We start from the raw sequence: 25,884 nt of genomic DNA, 5'->3' as shown, positions 1-25,884 counted from the left end.
GCATCTAATTGTTTTAGTGAATTTGAGTACCACAATATTCATGGAAAAACAATGTCCAGCTTAAAAACAAAGGCTCTTAATATGATACATTCTGGTTAAAACTCATTGTGAGAACAGACACATTAATGAATTTACTAAATCCTTCCCCAGCAACTTACACCATTTCAAAGGTACTTGCTATTTCAAGATTTCAATGAGCCTAAGAAATACCTTACCTATTATATATGAAAAGTAACAGATAAGAAGTTTTGCCTTTTATATTTGGCCTAAAAGCATTTTGAACCATGCTCTAATTATCACAATTATACTCAATTACATGAACTTGAGAGTTCTCAGCATATTAATTGACATGGCATAATAAACAGTTCATTCTCTTAGATTTCTGCCAAATCCGTAATATTGACGATATCCCTATGATTCTCAGAACTCTTGGCCTGCTTCTTTGCCATTACAGACATACCCCCATCACCCCTGGGTATGAGCAAAGCTTTTCAAATTTGAGCTGAAGGCCTTCCATTTGAATTCTGGGTCCAAGTTATTATTCAAGAGTGTGCAGTACAAAACTGTAATCAAGCCATTAGAGAATAACTATTCCCATACTCCCTTCTTGTCCTGTGGCAGATGGAAATCAAAGTCAAGAGTAGCTGCATCAACTACACTGCATACCTTGGCAACTACCATGTTCTATCTGGTACCCATTACCCGTTTACTTTTTTCAAGCCCATCAGTTAGTCACTCCAGGGTCTGGGTACTCCTAGTCACTACTGGACTAGATCTAGGAGTCTAGGTCCTAGGTGACTAGGTCTAGTCACTCCACTCACTCCTAGAAGTCACTGCAGGGGCCGAGCAACCTTCTAAGTTATGGGTGGGAACAAGTTAGGGCTGTGAGGCCAGGCCAGAATACACAGGAATTCTGGAGTGTCATGAATGCTTTAACTTTCCTTTGCAGGACAGCGACAGAAACCGAGATAAAGGAGTATCAGTTTCTTGCTCACTGTAATAGAGTGATGCCACAGTTATTGGTAACCTCTAGTTCGGCACTGGGGTTGGCAGATTTGGCAGGTATGGCTCACTGGGCCATGTGCAGCCAGAGGGAAGCTTTAGACTAATGGTTCTCATATTTGGGTGAGGGTCACCAAAGGAGGACTTTTTAAGGCATAGACGGCTGTGTGTAGCTATAGAGAAGCTCTAGTAATTTCCCTTGGTGGTTCTCAAACTTCAATGTGTGTGAGTCATCTGGAGATTTTTCTTTTTTGAGACAGGGTCTCACTCTGTCGCCCAGGCTGGAATGCATCTGGAGATTTTCTTTAAAATGTCTGTTTTCAAACTCTATTCCAGAGATTCTGATTTGGTTAGTATAGGGTATGGCCCAGGAACTGGCATGGGTTTTTGTTTTTTTGTAATCTTTTAAAAACGAGCTTTCTAGCTGGGTGCGGTGGCTCACGCCTGTAATCCCAGCACTTTGGGAGGCTGAGGCAGGCAGATGACTTGAGGTCAGGAGTTTGAGACCAGCCTGGCCAATATGGTCAAACCTCGTCTCTACTAAAAATAAACAAATTAGCTGGGCGTAGTGGTGCATGCCTGTGGTCCCAGCTACTCAGGAGGCTGAGGTAGGAAAATCGCTTGAACCCAGGAAACGGAGGTAGCAGTGAGCTGAGAATGTGCCACTGCACTCCAGCCTGGGTGTTGCAGCAAGACTCTGCCTCCAAACAAAACAAAACAAAACCAAAAATTAAAAAAAACACACACACAAAAAACAAGCTTTCCTTGTGGTTTTGAACCAGATTGATGCGCAGTGACATTTTGGGAAACACTGCTCTATAGTGGGTCACCTGGGCCATAGTGGCACTCTCCTTTGTAGTGTGGTCAGGTTATTACTGCTCTTCCCAATGGGGAATGTGAAGGGCTTTCACCTTGGTACATAAGGAAGCTTTCTGGCTGCAGTTCAGCAAATCTTTCCCAACACGTCAAGTCACAACCCATGAAGAATGGGTTCCATGACCAAAAATTATTGAATACTTCAGTGACAAGACTGATTGAACAATCTGCAAATAAGGTATTTGGAAAAATCTAACAAGTAGACCTATGGGATATTTCTCCTTTCCATCCTAGTCTTCCATCCTCAAGTTCCATTTAGGAAGCAACCCAATGATAATGAGTAGGAGACCAGGTAAATCCACCACAGCACATCCATACAACGGAAGAATGAGCAGCTCTTCATGATATTCTGCTAGGTGAAAAAGGCAAGATAAAGAACAATGGCTACAATATAATATACTAGCTTTTGTCTACTAAAGCAGAAGAACGTAAGAATCTATTTTGATTTCCTTTTGCAAACATATGGACAAAGTAATACAAAAGCAACTAACAACAATGGTTAATGTTTCGGGGAGGGTGGGAACTAAGCAGATAGCTGGTTGATAGGATGGAGAATTTGTAATGTATATATTTTAACACTTACTTACATGCTGAACAATGTGAACATACTGCATGTTATTTAAAACACCACACCCTCTCATTCCCAAATTTCTACTCACCAGTATCAGGAACTATTAATCTACCACTTTAGGCACAAGGCAAGAAGAATCTAAGTAATTACATCCTCTACCTGCACCAATAAACACAAAGACTTCTGAGAACTTCTTTATGTGAGCAATTTTTAAAAATACAAGTCAAGAGAAAATCCCCAGAAAATATTTTCAATTAATGTTTCTGGTTTATAAAAGATAAGTGAAATTCAGTTACACAGAGAACATATAATGTTTGGATTGTAAAACCTTTCTGAGAGATGATACATTGACACACAACATATGAAAATAGCTTGAGATACAAAAATACAGTTGTGATTCAGGAAATGGCACCAAATTAGAACAATTTTATTATTTAACATAATACCAATGTATATACATTATCCTCCCAAATAAGAAACAATTTGATTCCAAAGTTTAAAATGTAGTTTCCAAAATGAACCCTTGTAAATTTGAAGAAAAAGAAAGAAAGCCCTGCAAGTTACACAAATTTTGATCCATGACTAAAATAGGCACCCTGTACCAATCACCTTTCTCATACAAAAATGTATATTATAAATAAAACTTTCAAAAAAGATCTTGGATGTTTTATTGCACATCATACAGAATGTTTTACTGCTATCTGAATGGCTTTTAGCCCTTTACTTTGTTAGGTGTTTAAAATATCTACTCAAATTTGGGTGAAAACAATATTCTGGAGATATTATCATTTCGAGGATCATATATGGTATTTACCAGAAACAGAAACATATAATCTTACTGGACTGCTTCTGTCACTTTTTCTAAAATAAGAATGACTTCTATTTTCTACTGTTACAAGTAATTACCAGAGTTTTAAACAAATTAAAAGTCCTGTTCAAATGTCAGTTTTCTTTTTTTCAAACAGAAACCACATGTAGAGGGATTTAACCTGGTCATTCATTTCTGCCCCCTCTTAGGACCAGCCCTTCTTGAAGCCTATATTGTTAAATATCATACTACAGGGTTCCTAATAATGCTGTCCATCATTAACAGTTATTGTTTTGGTCTCACCATTTCTAAACCTTCTTAGATGTCGTTAAACCAGCACAAACCAGCCAGAATGCAATGGTCTCAAAAACAAAAAGGTTCCTAATAAGTTTTCATACCATCTAGCACAGTGCCTAGCATAGAGTAGGCATGGAATAAATATCTGATGAATGAATGCAGTATCTTTTAAGACCATTTCCTATGCTTATATTAATTAATGATTTATGAGTAATATGCTGATTTAGGGTACACAGACCTAACATGATGACTAAAGGAAGAACACATCAGACATGAAAATAGACACTGTTAGTTTCTACAATCCTGCTCCAGGACAGAACATGTATTTGAAAGGTTAAAACTATTCCAATAATAAAAATTGATTAGTCAAATATTTTTATTTTGCCAAAGAACTCTAAAAGCCTTTGGTGATTCCCAAACATACAATGAACCCCAAATAAAACAAAACCAAATTGCACTATTACAAAGGAACAAGTCCATGAAAGTAGAGAGGAGGCGCCAGTTAAGGGACAGCAACTTCAAGGAGACGGTTGTTTTTTCGTTTACATGTTGGGACACTCCCATTTTTCTGGTTTCCCTGAATAAACTTCACACATACTTTGTCCTGTCTGAACTGTACCAGGAACCTAGGAGAAAAGAATAAAACAAATTAAAGTATACACAAAACAGCTCATGATTACAATAACACTTGCTTTTGTATTTTAATGGATACTGATCTTGACGAGTACAGGCTGCGCATCCCTAACCTAATCCGAAAATCTGAAACCTCCAAACTCTGAAATGTTTAAAGCACTGACATGATGCTTAAAGGAAATGCTTGCTGGAACATTTCAGATTAAGACTGAAACATTAAGTATAATGCAAGTACAGTCTATGGGCTACCTAACAACGTTTCAGTGAACAATGAACCACATATATGATGGTGGTCCCATAAGCGCGGAAAAATTCCTATGGCTTAGTGACGTCATAGCTCTCCTAATGTAGGGCAATACACTACTCATGTTTGTGGTGACTGATGTAAACATACCTAATTCACTGTCAGTCATATACGATGGGGGTCCTATAAGATTATGATGGAGCTGGCCTATACAGTCGTACCATTTTTTTGTCTTTTATACTGTATTTTTACTGTACTTTTTCTGTTTAGATAGACAACTATTTACCATTGTGTTACAATTGCCTACAGTATGCAGTACAGTAACATGCTATAAACAGTTGGCTATACTATAATATACAGCCTATGTGTGTAGTAGGCTATACCATCTACGTTTGTGTAAGTACACACTCTATGATGTTTGCACAAAATCACCTAGTGACACACTTCTTAGTACACATCCCCAAGTTAAATGACACATGACTGTATTCCAAAACAAGAAACTGGGAACACTTCTTGTCCCAAGCATTTCGAATAAGGGAGACTCAACCTGTATCACTTCTTCCCATGAGCACTTCTTACACAGAATTGTATCAATGCAATTTACCTCCAGTAGTCCTCATTTAGCCCTAAGAAAACTAAAGTTCATTAACTCATCATATTCTAGTAAGGTAGAAAGGCTAAGAATTATTTCTGTGTTTCAAATGGAAAGACCAACAGGTTATATTTCCATTTTTCCACGGCAAAAAAAAAATATGGGAGGGGGCTCCTATTAAATTATCAACAAATTGAGAAAATGAGGTAAAGAATTTCACAAAAGGAAGGGGCCTGGCAACCCTCTAGTCTATGGCTTCTAAACACTGGTTACTCACATATGTCCTACATAGTTTTTGTCGTTATCTGCATAGTATGCTAATAGCTATTGCTAGCTTAAATGTATTTCAAAATAATAGTGACCTACAGAATATGCATAAAATCATGTGTTTGATCTACCACATATATCTTTAATACCCATTAAAATATTTATATAAAAATTATAAAAATTTAAAAAATCCATTAGTGTATAGAAATTAATTCATGGATTAAAAAATCCATTAGTGTATTTTTCCCTCAGTGTATCATGTGGACCACTGCTGGGATAAGAGATGACTTTAGGTGTACAATTGAGCATCCACAGAGGGTTCTTCACACCATCCCTGTGCTGGTGCTGCGAGGAACCCCCAACTGTATATGATGAGATCCCTGAACTGAGGATAGCATCACTGGGGGACATGAGAGCTGCATCGCTGGGCCAGAAACCAGGTCTTCCAGTTCCAAAACCAGTGATCTCTTCTCTCTACCCTCATAATTAGCATAGCATTATGACATTTTCCATATTCTCAGGGATGGTTTTCTCAGTCAATGGCACATTACTAAAGTGAGTCAACCTAACAACCACTGACCACTTACTGACATCCCCCAGCGATGTGAGGATCCACAGCTCTGCTCTGTATCCATTAGTTTCAGTTTCAAGGTCTAAAGAGGCCACATTTTGCAAACATTATCTGCTAGAATGAAACAAGGCAAATGTGTTTCTAATTCATCAGTTGTTTTATAAGGATAGTGCTTCTGATCTTTTAAATGGGTTCTTCATTTTCAACTTGAAAGCAATGAGGAAAGGACAGCTATAGTTCCAGATTCAACTACCTGAGATATATCTCTGGCATATATACTTGTATGTATGTGTCTCAAAAAAAATCTTTCAGGTTTATTGAAAATTCACACATTTTAAAAATCAAACACTTTCACATTTTTATTTTCAAAGACCACTTGTGGCTGGGCACAGTGGCTCATGCCTGTAATCCCAGCACTTTGGGAGGCCAAGGCAGGCAGGTAACTTGAGGCCAGGAGTTCGAGACCAGCCTGGCCAACATGGCAAACCCACGTCTCTACTAAAAATACACAAATTAGCCAGGGACGGTGGTGCATGCCTGTAATTCCAGCTACTCGGGAAGCTGAGGCAGGGGAATCGTTTGCAGCTAGGAGGCAGAGGAGGCTGCATTGAGCCGGGATCACACCACCGGACTCTGACCTGGGTGACAGAGGGAGACTCTGCCTCAAAATAAATAAAAAAGACCACTTGTAAGTGTAATAAATGTATAGGAACTTCTTTCCCCAATAACCTTGGCCTACATTAACTGTTTCCATGTCTATAATTCCTGATTAATATTCACACTAGAGGCCAGGCACGGTGGATCATGACAGTAATCCCAGCACTTTGGGAAGCTGAGGTGGTCGGATCACCTGAGGTCAGGAGTTTGGAACCAGCCTGGCCAAGACGGTGAAACCTCGTCTTTACTAAAAATACAAAAATTAGCAGGGCGTGGTGGTGCATGCCTGTAACCTCAGCTACTCGGGGAACTGAGGCAGGAGAATCCCTTGAACCCAGGAGGCAGAGGTTGCAGTGAGCCGAGATCTCGCCACTGCACTCGAGCCTAGGCGACAGAGCAAGACTCTGTCTCAAAAAAAAAAAAAAAAAGATTCACACTAGAAATAACAATAGGCAAGATATATTGAGGATTTGCTACATACCACACTGTGCTTGGCCATTTACTATGTTATTAGATCAGGCTTTAAGACAATCCTAGGAGGTAAGCACTATTATTTATCTTCACCTCATAGAAAAGAGAAAATCCTCCTCCAACAAACAATAACATGGAATGTATTATTTCATGGCATTCATACCAGTTAGAATTTCAAGGTAAAAGGAACATGGATTAGTTGTTTGGATTTCAAATATTCAGAAAACCAATTGTATAACTTAAATGATATATGTGTATCTATTGTACACACGTGTATACCTATATGTATATACACACACATATATTTAAAATGTTTAATGAAACAAATTCACTTTAGTTTTTACTCTATTTGGGAACTTGATTTTAGAAATATAGTCATGCATCATCTAATAAAAGGGATACATTCTGAGAAATGCATCACTAGGTGATTTTGTCATTGTGCAAACATCATAGAGTGAGTGCATTTACCCAAACCTAGATGCTACAGCGTGTTATTGTACTGTAGGTAACTGTAACACAATGGTATTTGTATGTGTAAACTTAGTAAGAATAGAAAAGGTACAGTAAGAATAGCATAAAAGATAAAAAATAGTGTACTTGTCTAGCGCCCTTACCATGAATGGGGCTTGCAGGCCTGGAAGTAGCTCTGGGTGAGTCAGTGAGTGAGTTGTTAGTGAATGTGAAGGCCTAGGACATTACATTACGGTATACTTTATAGGTAATTTTTTCTTTCTTCAATAATAAATTAACCTTTGCTTACTGTAACTTTTTGCTTTATAAACTTTACAATTTTAAAAACATTTTTGACACTTTTGTTTTGTTTTTGAGGCAGGGTCTTGGTCTGTCTCCCAGGCTGGAGTTCACTGGAGCAATCATGGCTCAGGGCAGCCTTGACCTTCCCGGGCTCAGATGATTCTCCCACCTCAGCCTCCTGAGAAGCTGGGACTACAGGTGTGTGTCACCATGGCTGGCTAATTTTTTAATTTTTTTGTTGAGAAGGGGTTTCGTCATGTCGCCCAGGCTGGTATTGAACTCCTAAGCTCAAGCAATCCACCAGCCTTGGCCTCCCAAAGTGCCAAGATTACAGGCGTGAGCCACTGGGCCCGGCTGTTTTTTGGCTCTTTTGTAATAACACTTAGCTTAAAACACAATACTTTGTATAGCTGTACAAAAATATTTTCTTTATAACCTTATTCTATAAGCTTTTCTCTATTTTTAAAATTTTAATTTTTTTTATTTTTACTTTTTAAACTTTTTGTTAAAAACTAAGATACAAACATATTAGCCTAGGCCTACACAGGGTCAGGAGCATCAATTTCACTGTCTTCTATCTCCATGTCTTGTCCCACTGGAAAGTCTTCAGGGGTAATAATACACATGGGGCTGTCTTCTCCTAAGATAACAATGCCTTCTGAAATACCCCCTTAAGGACCTGCCCGAGGCTGTTTTACTATTAACTTTTTTAACATGTAGGCATACACGCTAAAATAAAGATAAAAAGTACAGTATAGGCCGGGCGTGGTGGCTCACGCCTATAATCCCAGCACTTTGGGAGGCTGAGGCGGGCAGATCACAAGGTCAGGAGATCGAGACCATCCTGGCTAACACGATGAAACCCCACCTCTACTAAAAGTACAAAAAATTAGCCGGGCGTGGTGGCGGGCAGCTGTAGTCCCAGCTACTCGGGAGGCTGAGGCAGGAGAATGGCATGAACCCAGGAGGCGGAGCTTGCAGTGAGCCGAGATCACGCCACTGCACTCCAGCCTGGGCAACAGTGCAAGACTGAGTCTCAAAAAAAAAAAAGTATAGTATAATAAATACATAAACCAGTAACAACATCATTTATTATCAAGAGTTACATATTGTACATAATTGTATGTGCTTTTACTTGTAGACAACTGGCAGTGAAGTAGGTTTGTTTACACCAGCAGCAGCACAAACATGTGAGTAGTGCCTTGCACTATAACATTACAACACCTGTGACATCAATAGACAGAAGAATTTTTCAGCTCCATTACAATCTTAGGGGACCACCGTCATCTGTGCAATCCATTGCTGACCAAAATGTCATTATGTGGTGCATAACTGCATTACACATCTTGCAGGTTATCCTTAAAATGCAATCTAGTTACACATTGAACAGCTTAGAAGTTTAAGGACTAGAAACTATAAGGCAGCTGAATCTCTGAATGAATTCAATTCTCACTTCTATATGTACAAGTTTAAATTCCACTGAACAGGCTGGGCGCGGTGGCTCACGCCTGTAATCCCAGCACTTTCAGAGGCCCAGGGGGGCGGATCACCTGAGGTCAGGAGTTCGAGACCAGCCTGACCAACATGGAGAAACCCCATCTCTACTAAAAATACAAAATTAGCCAGGCGTGGTGGTGCATGCCTGTAATCCCAGCTACTCAAGAGGCTGAGGCAGAATAATCCCTTGAACCCGGGAGGCGGAGGTTGCGGTGAGCCAAGATCGTGCCACTGCACTCCAGCCTTGGCAACAAGAGCGAAACTCTGCCTCAAAAAAAAAAAAAAAAAAAAAAAATCCACTAAAGAGTAAACAGGACTTTGACTCTCTTTCCATAAACTGACATCCACTTATCCATAATGATTACAGAATCTAGGTTTGTTAGAGTAACTACTTCTACTTCTGGGAAGGAAAAAGCAAGGAAGGGCTTAGTCACTAAACTGCATGTGGTTTTCAACACTGGTTCTATAGAGCTAGCGAAGCCACTTAGGGCTGACACATAAAGGAACAGGCGCCCCTGCCTATGACTTTGGACATTTTCGTTTAAATTCAAAATGCTCCCTAAGGAGATTTACGATCCTTACCTACAAACTTCCTCTGCAGGCTTCCTGTGCCACCTGGGGAAGGGACCCACGGGTGCTATGTAGAGTCCTATGAACTGTTTTATTTTTATGAGACCAATCAATAATTAGGCACTGGAGAATGAAAGGCATTATAATGCTACCCAATGTTTGTTTTCTTCATGTGGCCACATTATAAATCTTCGCTCAGACAACTGTTTACTGAAAGCTTATGGCATCCAGAACATCACACGCCCTCTGTGACAGGGCAGGGCCCTTGCTGCCCAGAAGCGAACTGTCCCCCTTTCCCAGATGGCACACCTTCGAACACAAGCTGTGAGAGCTGCTGAAGGAGCTCTGTGGTTGACTATGTTTAGGATTCACGCCACACGCTATCCCCGCAAAGCTCCTCAGGAGAATCACAACAAGATTTCAGGGACTCTGAGATGTAATGTAGTGAAGAAAGATTTTAAATTTCCATCAGAGAACAATTTTTTCACAGTACATCGTTATTAGCATCCTGTACAAGCAATGTTCCTAGAATCCCGGTTTGGGAAATGCTTAAAAATAGCAGTACTTTGTGGTCTGGATGTTGGTGTGATTTCCTTTCTGTGTAAAGATGAGTTTATTCACATAGTGGGACAACTATGAGACTGCTTCGTCTGTACACTGAGGAGCTTCTGCTGTCTGGGATACATACGATCTTCCCATGGTGAGTGAGAATTAGCAGCCCCACCAAAGCCCATTCTCCCAGATTATGAAAAACTTCAACTATTATAAAGGGATTTTAAAGCTCTAATAGGCCCTAACGTGTTAAATCCTTAACTGAAACACACCAACCATTATTTTTTTCCTAATTTCTTTATGAGAAAGATCTCATTAACAAGAAAAGTTATTTAGTCCGAACAGCAATTTCCAATATAGAGTATACATGAAGCCCAACCTCCCACCCAAATCTAAACACTTCAATGAGAACTTAAGAAAAGCCCACAGCACTGCAAAATCCTAACATATCAAAGAGAGTCTGACTTACAAAGGGGCAGAAATGGGTGTAAATTTATTTTAGAAAGACTTTTAGGAAGAGTTGAAACAGAATAGACTAGAAAATTCTTAATTAGAAAAGAATATAATTTCCTGAGCAATCTAGACATGCAAAGAAGTATATAAGCAGGTAAACAATCTATTGAAAGGTAACCAATTAAGTATAATCAACACAGTAACTCAGATTTCTCCAAAACACTTACATAGATAGATACAATAAATCTGGGGATGCCCCAACCTGTATGCAAATAACTAACTTCTATATTCAGAACCCTAATGAGAAATTGAAGAAGCAAATTTCAAATTTATACCAGTCTCAGATGTCACCACATCAAAGAGGCCTCCCTGACTCTTTTTTTTTTTCTGAGACGGAGTCTCACACTGTCACCCAGGCTGGATTGCGGTGGCACGATCTCGGCTCATTGCAATCTCCGCCTCCCGGGTTCAAGAGATTCTCCTGCCTCAGCCTCTTGAGTAGCTGGGATTACATGCGCCCGCCACCACGCCCAGCTAATTTTTTTTGTATTTTAAGTAGAGACGGTTTCACCATGTTGGCCAGGCTGGTCTCGAACTCCTGACCTCGTGATTCGCCTGCCTCGGCCTCCCAAAGTGCTGGGATTACAGGCGTGAGCCACTGCGCCTGGCCTACTCTCTGACTCTTAACCCTTTTTTTCCTCCATAAACACTTGTTAGCCAAAATCTTATCAACTATTTCATCATTTTATTTGTACATACTGGTCTCTTCCACTAGGATGTCAGGTACATGAGGTTGGAGACTTGGTCAGTGTCATTCACTGCCCATTTATCATGTGGAACAACTACTAGACACATACCTGGTACTTAATAAGTAGTTGTATTAATGAATGAGATCGAGAGCTGAACTAAAACAAAAAAGCTGAAAGAGAAAAAGGGTTTTCAAACAATACATGAACGTACTCATCGGAAATCTCAATATTGAGCTTCTGTTTGGTTTGGCTGAGAGTTGTGCGATAGAGCTTGGTGGCCATTTCAATCAGGTGATCACTGCTGAAGAGAAAGTCTCCTTTACTAGCTGCTTCTGAGCCCTGCAAGGACAAACCAAGAGTCGGTCATAATTAAAGATACCTTAGAAGGTCAATATTTACAGGCTTGGCTAAAAACATACTTACAGTCTCTTTAAAACATCAGATCCTGGAATCCATTCTCCCAAGGTAAACAATAATGACAAAAGCAGTGTTTCTTCCAACTTGCTCAGAGCACTTTAGTAAGGTTACCTAATCCCCTTCTACCTAAAGTCGGTGGATGCAGCAGAAGCACCATGTGCATCACTTGGAGCTTGCTAGAAAAGCAGAATCTCAGGCCCTACCACAGCCCCAGTGAATATGAAACCACAACGCAACCTCCAGGTATGGGTTTACACATTCAGGTTTGAGGAGCATGGACCTATCCCGCAACTCTTCTGAAGGACTTGATTAAAAAACTTTTCAGTGATTTGGTTAAAACCCTAATGACAACACTTCCAACAAATATCCTAGGGCAGTGGCTCTCAGCCTTAGCTGTGCAAGGGAATCATCTGGGTTTATTCAAAAAAAAAACAAAACAAAACAAAAAAAAAAACATGATGCTTGTGCCCCCTCTGAGAAATTCTAATTTGATTTCATAGGGGTATGGCCTGGGCATCAGAATTTTTAAAGTTCCCAAGCTGTTTACATGTGTCACTGAGGTTGAGAATCACTGTCCTAGTATTTGATATGCCCCCTTTAAGTTAAGATCCAAAGTAGGGTAAACAGGCTAAGGGAAGCTTTGGGGATTTTTCTAAGTTTAGGGTTGGCCAGAGAGTAACATTATTAGCTAGACACATGTCCCTACATATGATCAATATTTGTTAACTTTTGTTTATTCAGTGACTATGTGTTATGTGACAGGCCCTGTTCCTCCAGTGTCTCATTTAATCCTTAATCCTTACAACAATGCTATGAAGTAGGCACTCTTACTATCCCCATTTTAAAGATGAGAAAAAGTAGGTAGGCACACACAAATTAAATGCCTTGGCCAAAATTATCATAAAGTGAGTGAGACCAACTCCAGAACCTACATGTAACCACTGCATCCAAGCCAGGAGTCCTGGTTAAGCTAAAGGCACAGAACACTAAAAATTATTTAGGTTAAAATTAACTGGCGGTTATTTTATTTTAGTTGTATCCTTTAATGTAAACCCCCAGATTAGAGATGAACATTAAGACATTTACTAAGTTGATACATAGAAGAAAAAACAGGAGAAAACAAAATTTAAAACATCTTGATATTTCTATGTATTAGTCTCAAAAAGTAAAGTAAACTGGCCAATAAAAGTGATTAACTTTATTCAATTACTGAAAAACTGAGTCGGAGATTTTACATAGGGGTGAATATCCAAAATTTGCAAATTAGCAAGGCAGATATATAAACTGCGATAGGATTATCAGATATGGAAATTTTTTAAATCAATGGCTGAGAGATTAAGCACAGAAATCTTCTGTTGAACCTTTACCTCTTTGAGGTGGACGGCGAAGAAGCCATCATTTTGTGAGCTCATTGATACCTTGGTCACATCCACCAATGGAACCTCTGACTTGATTTGTCCAGACTTTTGGTCAGCAAGAAGGAGATTATTGTTTGTTAAGAGGAAAATCCGAGATGTACTCTAAATCAAAATAAAAAATAGTATAAAACCAATGATCACAAATACTCAAAAATGGTCCATGAGTTTAAGGCATTATTTGCAAAAATTCCAATATCCTTCAACAAACATACCTATGTAAACCAAGAACGCAGTAAAGAACATAAATAATATGTTTTATTTCATAAAAATGTCAGAGAACAAGCAAAATTCCACCTAAGCTTAAAGGTAAGGGGAAATAGCCGCCTTCATAGTTAACTCTACTGAGAACATGAAATGCAAATTTTTACATTCAGAAAACAGGGTGACTATCCCAACTAATAGGTACTTCTTATCAGTCTTCAAGGTTAGCATTTTTACCTTCCCATTAGCACGGTTAATTTTGTTCACGACTTCAGCAATGATGATCTTTTCTTCAATGGCATCTTTGAGTTTCTTATACTTGGGGTTCTTGTTGATTTCCAGGTAAGCCCCTTGGAATGGTTGCCCAACACTAAAGGAAAAAAATTCCTGCACATTAGAAATAGTTTCAAATGAAAGTACCACTAAAAAAAGGAAACAGGTCAGTTGATTCTAAGGAGTAGCTGACAACTTCATAAAAATTGATTTCAATTTATTTTATATATTACACTTACATCTGTCCTAAATATAAGTTGGAAATGAAACCTTAAACCTATTTCAAATACACTTTTGGGGTGATCATGGCATTTGGTGGGCAGGACTTTGATAATAATCTTATCACACGGAACAATCAAGACAGAAATCACTCATAAGAACAACAGCTAAGACTCAAGTACATGGCCTCATGTGAAGGAAAAGGCAATTTCTTCTAATCTGTTAATATAAAGTTAACAGCTGCTCACAAAGGATTTACTAACGCCTTCAAACAATATGTGGCAGTGAAAAGAGCTGAAATCATTACCATCACCTGCTCTAAAGAAAAATTTCATTTCTTGCAGAGAATAAGAAAATCAATAGGCCTTCTGGGAAAGAACAGATCCAGGGCAATCACTTTAGAAGAAAACTATAGAACACTTAATATTAACATGTAACTGTGGTTCTAAGTAGGCAATACAGATGGTCTCTGACTTGGTTTGACTTAGGGTTTTTCAGCTTTACAGTGGTGCTCATAAACCATTCTGTTTTTCACTTTCAGTACAGTGGTCAATAAACCACATGAGATATCCAACACTTTATTATAAAACAGGCTTTGTGTTAGATGATTTTGCCCAACTGTAGGCTAATGTAAGTGTGCTGAGCATGTTTAAGGTAGGCTAGGCTAAGTGATTGTGTTCAGTAGGTTAGGTGTATTAAATGCATTTTCAACTTATGATATTTTCAACTTCATATGACATATGACAACTTCATAAAAATTGACTTCAATTTATTTTATACATTACGCTTGCATCTGTCCTAAATATAAGTTGGAAATGAAACCTTAAACCTATTTCAAATATATTTTTGAGGTGATCATGGCATTTGGTGGGCAGGACTTTGATAATAATCTCATCACATGGAACAATCAAGATAGAAATCACTCATAACCCATATGATGGATTATCTGTGTGTAACTGCATCATAAGTTAAGCAGCATCTGTATATGAAAGGAGAATCAAGCCTCTTCTCCTAGAATATGCCTCTAAATGGACAGAAGTAACCAAAGCAAACATTCAGAATCAGGGCAATTTTTTTTTTCCCAAACAAACTAATTTTTGTAAAAGGTTAACTGTACACTTATCACTAAGATATCAATTTCCCTAAAGACTTGTCGGGGGACTCTTTCAGGACAGGTTCATCAAAGGCACCAAGGAAAAACTGCTGCTTCAAGGAATCTATAAGCTTCATTTTGAGCTACAAAGTTCTGGCAATTTGCAAATACAAATTTAAATGCTTATGTTGTGGGTGGAGGATAAGGGAAGAAAAATCCACGTAGGTGGTCAGCGTTTCACAGCTCTCAGGATATAAAAGGCCAACTCCCATAAGAGCTGCCACTTTGCAGGGTGGTGGGAGGCTAAATTATTCCACCTCTCTCACTGCTGTGGGGTGAGTGTGCCACTATCCCTGAAAACTGATAAGACTACCCAAAAAGGACTTGGCTTGAAGTTAACTTTTTTTGGTTCCTATTCAACTGTGTTTTAAATTATAAAAATGCTAACAGGCTTTTAAATTGTTTCCTCAAAGATGTATTTTCCAGCCTGTAGTTTCTGAAGAGTCATCCACAGGAAATGTTCATTAAGAAGGTTATTCCCTAATTTAAAAATGTATAAAAAAAAAGCTGAATAAAATTAGTTGCTGAAGCAAGCATACAGACAAATTCTCCTGTTTGAATATGCTTTATATAACAGGCACTTTGGACAACTTTGGATTTAGACACTGTGTTTGACTTAAGGGAGTATGTATCACCTCAAGTAGCCACATCAGCTAACCAATGAAGTTGTACAATTTAAAATATTTAAACCCAGTGAGTCTGGCAATGTATATTCCTTTAATCCTTTAAAAGGAAGATATTTTAAATGTGTATAAAGTCACAGAGAATATAAACATAATTTACGTAATAAATGTGAATATACTCAGCATATAATACATTCTTTCTTTGGCCATTCATTGGAAGAAGCTTAAAGTTGTTACAGATTTGGCTTGAAATTGTACAATCTACTTTTTTATAAACACCAGATGAAAATGGGATTAGATTGCTGGGAGGAAGTGATGAATGCAGGAGATGTAAGACTATTGGGATAAACAGTCTTTACCAAGGACTTCACTTGCTGAACTTGGGATTGGTGTTCCTTCTTTTTCTGAGTCCACGGTGTCTAAAATAAAGGAACTGAACGTGCTGTACAGGCCACAGAAGTCATATCCGTTGAGTTAGCAGACCAAAGGGCACCACAGACCAGTGCTCAAGCAACACTCAAAAAGTACTGTCCTGGCTCGCTCTTTCATTTACCTTACAAATAAGTTTCTGACCTTGCTTGCTATGGCAGGAAGACTGGAATGGTGATTAAAGTATATTGCCAACAGAAATTTGGCTAGTCTTTGAAAACTACGGAAAAGGAACAGGAATTTACAATGCAAACGTATCTTAACAGCCTATATAATTTTTATGTTAAATGACTTCTAATTATTTAGTAAAGTGTTTGAGCTAATGCTAATGGAGTGAAACCAACAATCGTAACCTCATTTCATTAAACTGCACTATAGAAGCCATAGCTCAAATAAATGTGTTTACATCAAGCTGATTATAAAATGATTCACAGAACTAAAAATCACTCATCTAAGACTGAAATCAAACACCAGGCAAAACGGCGTACAAATATACTTGAGAAACTTTTATAATCCTGAATTTTATGGGTAAAGCAAAGCCATAATACCTAGATGGGTATAAAGCCTTCTTGTCTTTGAAGAGTTCACTGGCTTCTAGTTTCTCTTCATAAATAAGTTTCTGCTGGTCTGTGAATTGGTCCCTGTATTTTTTACACTGTGAGATATGAGAAGAAAGAAACAAAACATCATTTATATAAATAAATTATTACTCATTCTTAAATATGCTAAGACAATTTATCAGCAACAAGAATAAGGGAGAAAGTACAAAACATTCACTAAAAAAGGCCAAAAACATTTTTCCCTTGTGGGTTTTAAAAAGTTTGTCTTGGAAAACGTCAGAGTATTATTTGTATTGCAGAACCTGGAATGCTTCTTCAAAACACACCAGGGCCTAGTGGGCACGGGCCTTGCAAGTACTATTTCCTCCCACTATGTCAATCCTTGGAAATCCTCTAGTCCTGAGGCTGTCACTCTTCTAGAGAGACTCACAGTAAAAATATTGTGCATCACAATCCACTAAGCACATTTCCACACACATACAGAGAAAACTGACACAAAAGCGTCACAAAACAATACTCAATCCTTTCTATATATTGTACACTCTGCTATTTTCTATTCTATTGCATTTTATTGAAAAACGCTGGTAGTAATCCACTAAATTGATTTCATGACCACAAATATGCTATGACAGTTTGAAAACCACTGCTCCAAATCCCCCCACTACCATTTTACAATAGGGATGAGGGACCTGAGATATCCCCTTTCACTCCATCCCTGAAGCTGCAATGAGAGGAGACAGTGGCCAGAGGAGCAGGGCCAGGTTTTTTAGATGAGCATTCCTAGAAATTCAGTTACAGGTGTGGTCAAGTGCTACTGAAATAATTGCATGAAGAAGTGTGAGCATTGCTGCTGACCCTTTCCATGGAAAGGCTCCCTTCAGGAATAAACAGCCCTCATCTCCCACCTCCAATCCAATGGAGGGATGGGTGAGATTGCAAAGCCAGGGGAGGGCAGAGGTGGTGCAGATCCCCAGCAATGGGAGCTCCCTGTCATTATTTCTGAAAACAGTTTCTGGGTTAGACTCAAGAAAGGAGACAAGCCATTAAGAGGTTCATGAACCTCGCCAAATTTGCTGTTAGAGAACAGAACTCAGAATCTAGTTCCTTATGTTGTATGGTACCACTTATCAAGCTAATCAGCAATAATGTCACTCTATACATAGATGATTCTAACAAAAAAACAAGCCCACCGTGCTGGGCAGGAAAGTTTCCTGGAGGATGTGTGTACTGAGCATTCATTTACTAAATACATGCCCTTCCATCTCATGATTTTATTACATCTGATAACTGCATATATTTAACATTCCACATATCAACTGACTAGGTTATCGAAGTAAGGTCAACATCTATACAAGTGCCCCACGTGTTCCATGCTGGGCAACATCTAAATTACATGCCATGTCCTCTTATACAAAATAAGAGAGCTAAAATAAAAGGCAGTATAAAACAGATTTCCAGCTTCCCTGTAATTTAGATAGAGAATGTGTTACTATCTTTAGGGACAGGAAAAAGCCTTTTTTCCCACCCATCAAAGTGTGTGTGTTCACATGTATTATCTGATTATCTGTTCTGTACATCTGATAAAGTAAACTCTTCAATTTGCAGGATTTAACTATGTTGCCTGAAGGTGTCCAAATTTTATGATTTCTCTGTCCTACAGTATTCCTTTAGACAAAGAGAGAAACAAATGAACAAAAAACTGAACTACTTGAGAGCAGCTGGAACCTGGAATGGAAAGAAAATGCAGCCCTGTGCTCCCCGTTCCAGCCAGGGCCGAGAGGCGACCGCACAGGGAACGCCTGGGCCGCTGCAGGGGCTCTCGTAGAAACTCAATATGGTGCATGGGGGAAAATCACCAAAGTCCTCAAGTAATCCTCTTTGAGGCAAAGGAAGAATGTGTTAACAGTTTTGATTTTATGTGTTTTTAAACACTCAAAATAAATAAGAAAGTCTCCGAAAAGATGTAATATGACATTTTTTACCCTCCACAAGTGGAAAATCCTTTTTAGCTCCTTGTGAGTAGAATCCAAGAATAAGTAAGGTCTTGAGGGCCAATTCTTGTCTATTGGAGATAAGGAAGGCATCTTATTTTTCATTTCCAAGAAGTATTTTTGCACCTGTGTTGGGTTGACAGAAAATACTACATGAGGAAAATATACCACAAAAGACACTGTTTTACATACATCATGATCAAATAAACGAGACAATAGTAGAATTTATTTAACTTTGGAATTTATAGAACTGTAACTCATCTGGGAAGTCTCTACTCCACTCTTTCATACTGGTTGGGGAAATATGAGTTCTACCAAATGGTTAAGAGAAAAGAAGAATAGTAATGCTAACACTCATATTAACACTAATGCTAATACCAGCTAGCTCTATAGAGCTGTATTGTCTAAAATGCAGCCACTAGTCACACAGGCTATTTATATTTACATTTTAAGTAACTAAAATTAAATTAAATTTTAAAATCCAGTTCCTTAGTCACACTAAGTGGCAGTGGGGGCTGGCTCCAGAGTTTGCAGTCTGTTCAGCACTACATACACCTCTCTGAAAGATGGAGAACTCCAGAGTCCATGTGGGTGGAGCTGCACAGCCTGGCTCCCTGTCACCCCTCTCCCCACTAATTTGCTTGCCAGCCTTGCCCTGCCACAGCTCATGGCAGTTTCACAGGGTAAAGTCATGGCTTTCTTGGATCCACTTTCCCCCAAAAGTTCTCTCTTGTCAAATAAGGCAAACACTGTATTAATAATATACGGGCCATTAACAACTCTTTCTGACACAATTCTACCAGAATTTGGAAGAAGATGATTTTAAAAGATAACTAACTCTCAGTGTCACAGCTATGATTTAATTATTATTTAAAAAGTCACTTTTGTCATTTAGGAAAAGGCACATTTTATGGAGTTGGTGATATTAGGTGGGTAATTCCACAATGCTGATTATCCACAGATATAAAGTGTCAACTTACAATTCTCTGAAGCGTAAACTCATAGATTTTCTTTCCAGCATTGGCTCTGAAGAATTTCCTGTATTCTCTACGTACCTTTAAAAAGAAGATGTAGGTTACAGTGGTTAATGTGTGGCTGGTACAGGTCCATAATGATACACCTCTATTAAAAATGAAAAAATGTCAAACAAGTCAGTTTATAAGTGTCCTTTCTAGATTTAGTAAAATAATTGAAACACATTCATATAGTGGATCTTAAGTCAGAGAGAAAGAAATTAAGAAATGTAAAATGATGAAACCAGCATGAATTGATGTTTTAAATCCTCTTAGTAGTTTTTGAAGAATCTGATGATTTGACAAGAAACATTTTACAGGCACAGCTGCAAACTCATCCCCAATTAAAATACATTAAAAATTATATAAAATAATGTTCTCTTCAGATTGTTTTGTAAAAGGCAAAAAGAAAAAAAAAGTCTGAAGAACTGTATCAGTTTCCAAAAGCCTTGCATAGAAGATAAGGCCTACACACTGAGAACTGAATATGGCTAAGAATTTAAATAGAAGCTTTGAAACTACCATTATCTTCCATTTCATTGCATTAATTCTTCTCTATCATCTCTACTCCCACCAAACTTTATACTTAATGCTATCAGAGCACTTAAAACATCATATTATAGTTTTAGTTCACACATTTTTTCCTTGCTACATTGTTATATTTACTTCATATACTAATGTCTAACAAATAACAGTAACAAAGTGGAGTGTTTGTATAACAAATGAATAAATTATATAGTTAAATTTTGAAATTGAAGGAAAAATATCTTAAGTATTTATTACCATCCAGATACAAATGGGAGAGTTAGAATTTAGCAAAATATTAGCCTATCTGAATAATTCAGATATTACATATCTTTTTTCTTTTCTTTCTAGTTTTCTAGGTTTAACTGCACATGTTCAAAATATTTCTACATTACGGGATGTAAGCTAGTAATCTTCTATCCAAATTCAGTTTACAGATAAATGTTCTGTATGCATATTTTTAAGTTAAGAACTCAATATAACAATTCAGACTGCAGATTTCTCTTAAAGTTGTCTAAGATCTAGCAACACTGAGGCCTAGTCCTATAAAATAAGTGCCAGGGAGACCAAAGTAGCTGCTGTTGCCTTTAGATGAGGCATGCACGCTCCAAACTACACGAGTCCCTTTGCTTCTGATCCACCTCCCATCTGATGCTTTCCTCATCTGTACGACCAACCTGGTCCCTCTGAGCATTTTTGCACCAGACCCATTCTCTACCTCTAAAGACTGTTAAGGTTTAAAAACTGTAACATATACCTTATAGGCAGTTTTTCTTTTTACAGGCATACCTCATTTTAATGCACTTTGCAGACATTGAGTTTTTACAAATTGAAGGTTTGTGGCAACCCTGCATCAAACAAGCCTATTGGCACCATTTTTCCAACAGCATGTGCTCATTCTGTGTCTGTCACATTTTGATAATTCTCACAATATTTCAAACTTTTTCATTATTTTTCTATCTGTAAGATGGTGAACTTAATCAAGAGACAGTGTGTGTATTCTGACTGCTCCACCCATTGGCCATTCTCCCATCTCTCTCCCTCTCCTCGGGCCTCCCTTATTCCCTAAGACAGAGCAATATAGAAATTAATTAATATTGAATTAATAATCCTACAATGGCTTCTCAGTGTTCAACTGAAAGGAAGGGTCACACACTTCTTACTTTAAATTGAAAGCTAGAAATGATTAAGCTTAGTGAGGAAGGCATGTCAACAGCTGAGGCAGGCCAAAAGCTAGGACCCTTGTGCCAAACAGCCAAGTTATAAATGCAAAGGAAACATTCTTGAAGGAAATTAAAAGTGTTATTCCAGTGAACATACAAATGATAAGGAAGTGAAACAGCTTCATTGCTGATAAGGAGAAAATTTTAGTGGTCTAGATATAAGATCAAACCAGCCACAATATCCTCTAAGCAATGCCTAATCCAGAGCAATGTCCTAACTCTCTTCAGTTCCAAGAAGGCTGAGAGAGGTGAGGAAGCTGCAGAAGAAAAGTTTATTAACTTTTCATGAAGGTTAAGGAAAGAAGCAGCAAGTGCTGATAGAGAAGCTGCAGAAAGTTATCCAGAAGATCTAACTAGATCACTCATGAATGTGGCTACACTCGACAACAGATTTCCAATGTAGACAAAACAGCCTGCTATTGGAAGAAGATGCCATCTAGACTTTCATAGCTAGAGAGGAAAAGCTAATGTCTGGCTTCAAAGGACAGGTTGATTCTCTTGTTAAAGAATAATACAGCTGCTAACTTTAAGTTGGAGCTAATGCTCATTTACCATTATAAAAATCCTACAGCTTAGGAATTATGCTAAATCTACTCCGCCTGTGTGCTCCATAAATGGAACAACAAAGCCTGGATGACAGCACATCTGCTTACAGCATGGTTTACTGACTATCTTAAGCCCCATATTGAGACCTACTGCTCAGAAAAGAGAGAACTTTCAAAATATTCATGCACACTGACAAGGCACCTGGTCACCCAAGAGCTCTGATGGAGATATACGAGGAGATTAATGTTTTCATGCCTGCTAACACAACATCCATTCTGCAGCTCATGGATCAAGGAGTAATTCCCAGTCTTATGATTTAAGAAATACATTTTATAAGGCTATACCTGCCATAGACAGTGATTCCTCTGGTGGATCTGGGCAAAGTAAATTAAAAACTTTCCAGAAAAGAGTCATCAGTCTGGATGCCATTAAGAATATTCCAGATTCATGGGAGGAGGTCAAAACAGCCACATTAATAGAAGTTTGGAAGAAGTTGATTCCAACTCTCATGGATGACTTGGAGGGGGCTCACAACTTTAGTGGAGGAAGTAACTGCAGATGTGGCAGATATAGTAACAACTAGAATTAGAAGTGAAACCTGAAGATGGGACTGAATTGCTGCAATCTCAAGATAAGATGGAAATGAACAAGGAGTTGCTTCTTATGGATGACCAAATAAAGTAGTTTCCTGAGATGGAATCTACTCCTGATGAAGATGCTGTGAACACTGCTGAAATGACAACAAAGGATTTGGAATATTCCATAAGCTTAGTTGACAAAACCAGTGGCAAGGTTTGAGAGGATTCATTTCAATTTTGAAAGAAGTTCTACACTGGGTAAAATGCTATCAAATGCCAACATATGCTATACAGAAATCTTTCAGGAAAGGAAGTCAATCTATGTGGCAAATTTCATTGTTATCTTATTTTAAGAAATTGCCACAGCCACCACAACCTTCAGCAGCCACCACCCTCATCAGTCAGCAGCCATCGACATCAAGATAAGCCAAGACTCTCCACCAGCAAAAAGATTACAACTTGCTGAAGGCTCAGATGATGGTTAGCATTTTTTAGCAATGAAGTATTTGTAAAGTATGTACTTTGGCTTTTTAGACATAAGGCTATTAGATACTTAATAGACTACAGTAGAGACAGTGTAAACATAACTTTTATTTGCACTGGCAAACAAAACATTTGTGTGATTCACTTTATTGTGATATTCACTTTATTGCAGAGATCTGGAACTGAGCCTGCAATATCTCTGAGGTATGCCTGTATTCATATTCTAGTTACTGATTATCATCTGTCTTTTAGCCACAGAGCTGTCAGATCCACAAACATTTCTAATCTCAAACTAAGGTGAGAAGGGACAAGGAGAAGAAAAATGTTACCTAATAATTGGCTCCTGAAATTATAATAGTATAGGAAAGCAGACAAATGAAGTTACATAAGAATATATCATTAAAAATATACCTGAAGTCATACGATATTTAGTTGAGCCTCATAACTGAGCTCATTGCTATATGCATTTTGATATTCGACAGGGCAGGTTATTTCTCCCAAAATACCACTACAGACACTAAAAGCCTGGTGACAACATGCTGGCATATACGATGGTGCCCCCTGGGGAACTGGGAGTCTTAAAAAGGCCCACTGCACTTTGTAATTATTTCCACAGGAAAAGTCAATCATTTGAGAGGGCAAAATTATCATTCATATTAACATGATTCTCTTTTAGAAAAAAAAAGTACAAAATTATTATATTCTTGGACTTCAAGTAAGTTTGATCTTATTTCATACAATAATACTGGTTATATAGTAAAGTACCTCTGTTTTGTTGGAGACTGAGAGGAAAAAAGTTATGTCTAGAGTAAGCCCAGTTAACTTCTGCTAAAATAATATTCCCCTACAAACTGAATTTGCTTTGTAGGTTGCTAGTGTACACCCCTAATGCAAAAATGTTTTGAAATCATATGCAGTTAAACCCAGAAAACTAAAGATGTGAGTTAAATGGGAAAATGTTTACTTTTGTTTGACTTAAAAAAACCGGTTATAGAGCTTGTTTGGAGTTCTTCAAATAGAACATCTGTTAAAATTCATATTTAAGTTACTTCTTAATTACTTCAAATATTACTTGGTGAATATTCAGTATAATCAAAAAGGATAATTTACTAAAGTTTATAGGCTGAAATTGCAGAAAAAAAATGCAGATTGTTCAAAGCAGGATTCAGGGATATTTCTAATGGTTGTTCAGACTTAGAGTCAATGATTACTCAGATAATAATTCAAATATTTGGAGTAAGATTAAATGTCATAGGATTAAAGTAAAAACAATGATAAGGAATACTGTCAGAAAGGGGCCTAATTATCCCAAAAAGGCAATATGGATGGCTTCCTATGGTGACTAATTATTGAATTTGGAAGATCAGATCCTTACATGGTGTAAAGAATATTCTAAGGGCTTCTCAGAGCTCAGAGTTATTTACTTATGTGTAGTTCTGTACACATAAGTGTACCCTACTGTAGTAAGCACCACTTCAAAATAAACCCTGCCATAATCACAAGGTATTTGAATTCGAGGTTCTCTTTAACATGAATGATCCACTGATCTCTGAATCTCTGAACTCATTCATCAAAATCTGTAAGCTTAATGATGCAAGACCCTTTGGTTCCAACGCTGAACAATTAGAACAATGGTCGCTCTGAAGAAAGCTCTACTGCAGGCAGCCATTATTGGAGCAGAATTGGTACAAAAAGGGAAACAAAAGCCTGGCATCCCTAGGCTGGTCACTGTGGATGTAGGGCAGCTTTTAGCTCAACTATTGTAACTGTGTCTCACAGATTTTAAAAAAACAACTTTACACTCATAAAGATAACAAACTAGAACTTTGATAACATAGTATCTTGAATAAAACATGCCATATTGCTATTACATTAAACCTATTATTTAAAGAAATAGAAATCACAAAATCAGAAAAAAATTAGTGTATAGGTTTCTTCTGAAAAAGGTACAAAATTAAGCAAGATGACATTCTACAAGACTGTGCAGACCATCAGCAAGCATAATCAATCATTTTCTCAGGGTTAGTAGGTGCTAGGCTTTATGAAGTTCACCCTGGACAGAAACAAGTGGTTGAGGAAGTACCTTCAGTCCAAGCCAGTAAGCCCAAATGACAGCAACTGCATGCTTACGCCTAGCCTCCTCCTTCAAGCGTTTCAATTCCCTTCGAGCCTAGAATGTTTTAGATAGTAAATAAAAGAGACAGCCCAATGCAGACAGCACAAATGACCAGAAAAAGATATCCCACCAAACAGAAGAGCCAATTTATGAATAAGGATTTCAGAATGACAGAGGAACAGTGCATAACAATTTAAACCCAAAGAATTGGTGTCAGGCTGGTGCAGCGCTTATATTTTCAGTGCACTGAGATTCTGTTCCAGAGAAGGACAATCTGTGTGGTTCCCAAGGTAATCATTTCCCACCCCTCACTTCCATTCCTTTCCTTTTTTCTCCTGTTCTCTCTCTCTGTTCGCTGCCTTCTCCACACTCTTTCACTCCCATATCAAAGCCTTCAAACTCTGAGTAACAGCCCTAATGATGTCATTAGACTCCCCTTTGCTGACAGCACATTGGGCTGAAGAAGCTATGCACTCCTGAGTTCATCCCTTTGGATGGATAAAAAGACAACTCTTGTGAACAATCACTTAGAAAACTGGGAGGAAAAAAGTTT

General features: G+C 38.1%; 1 protein-coding gene across 14 annotated transcripts in view; it reads right to left on the bottom strand.

Annotated features, from left to right (window-relative positions):
• Positions 1 to 2,630: 2,630 nt before the first annotated feature.
• Positions 2,631 to 25,884, bottom strand: part of MYO1B (myosin IB) — a 179,983-nt gene continuing 156,729 nt past the window's right edge. For 8 of the 14 annotated variants that reach the window (XM_047444410.1, XM_024452914.2, NM_001130158.3 and 5 more), the window contains 8 exons: positions 25,299 to 25,385; positions 19,828 to 19,902; positions 18,839 to 18,973; positions 16,845 to 16,951; positions 13,837 to 13,969; positions 13,348 to 13,500; positions 11,775 to 11,902; positions 2,631 to 4,180 (listed from right to left, as the gene is read on the bottom strand). In XM_047444410.1, coding sequence (XP_047300366.1) covers positions 4,057 to 4,180; positions 11,775 to 11,902; positions 13,348 to 13,500; positions 13,837 to 13,969; positions 16,845 to 16,951; positions 18,839 to 18,973; positions 19,828 to 19,902; positions 25,299 to 25,385 — 942 coding nt within the window. In that variant the 3' untranslated portion in view covers positions 2,631 to 4,056. The remainder of the gene's footprint in view (positions 4,181 to 11,774; positions 11,903 to 13,347; positions 13,501 to 13,836; positions 13,970 to 16,844; positions 16,952 to 18,838; positions 18,974 to 19,827; positions 19,903 to 25,298; positions 25,386 to 25,884) is intronic. The other 6 variants (XM_047444412.1, XM_024452915.2, NM_001330238.2 and 3 more) reach the window with 1 other exon arrangement.

Source organism: Homo sapiens, chromosome 2 (assembly GCF_000001405.40).
Source record: "Homo sapiens chromosome 2, GRCh38.p14 Primary Assembly".
Classification (NCBI taxonomy): Eukaryota; Metazoa; Chordata; class Mammalia; order Primates; family Hominidae; genus Homo; species Homo sapiens.
This window is presented reverse-complemented; position numbering and strand designations above follow the sequence as displayed.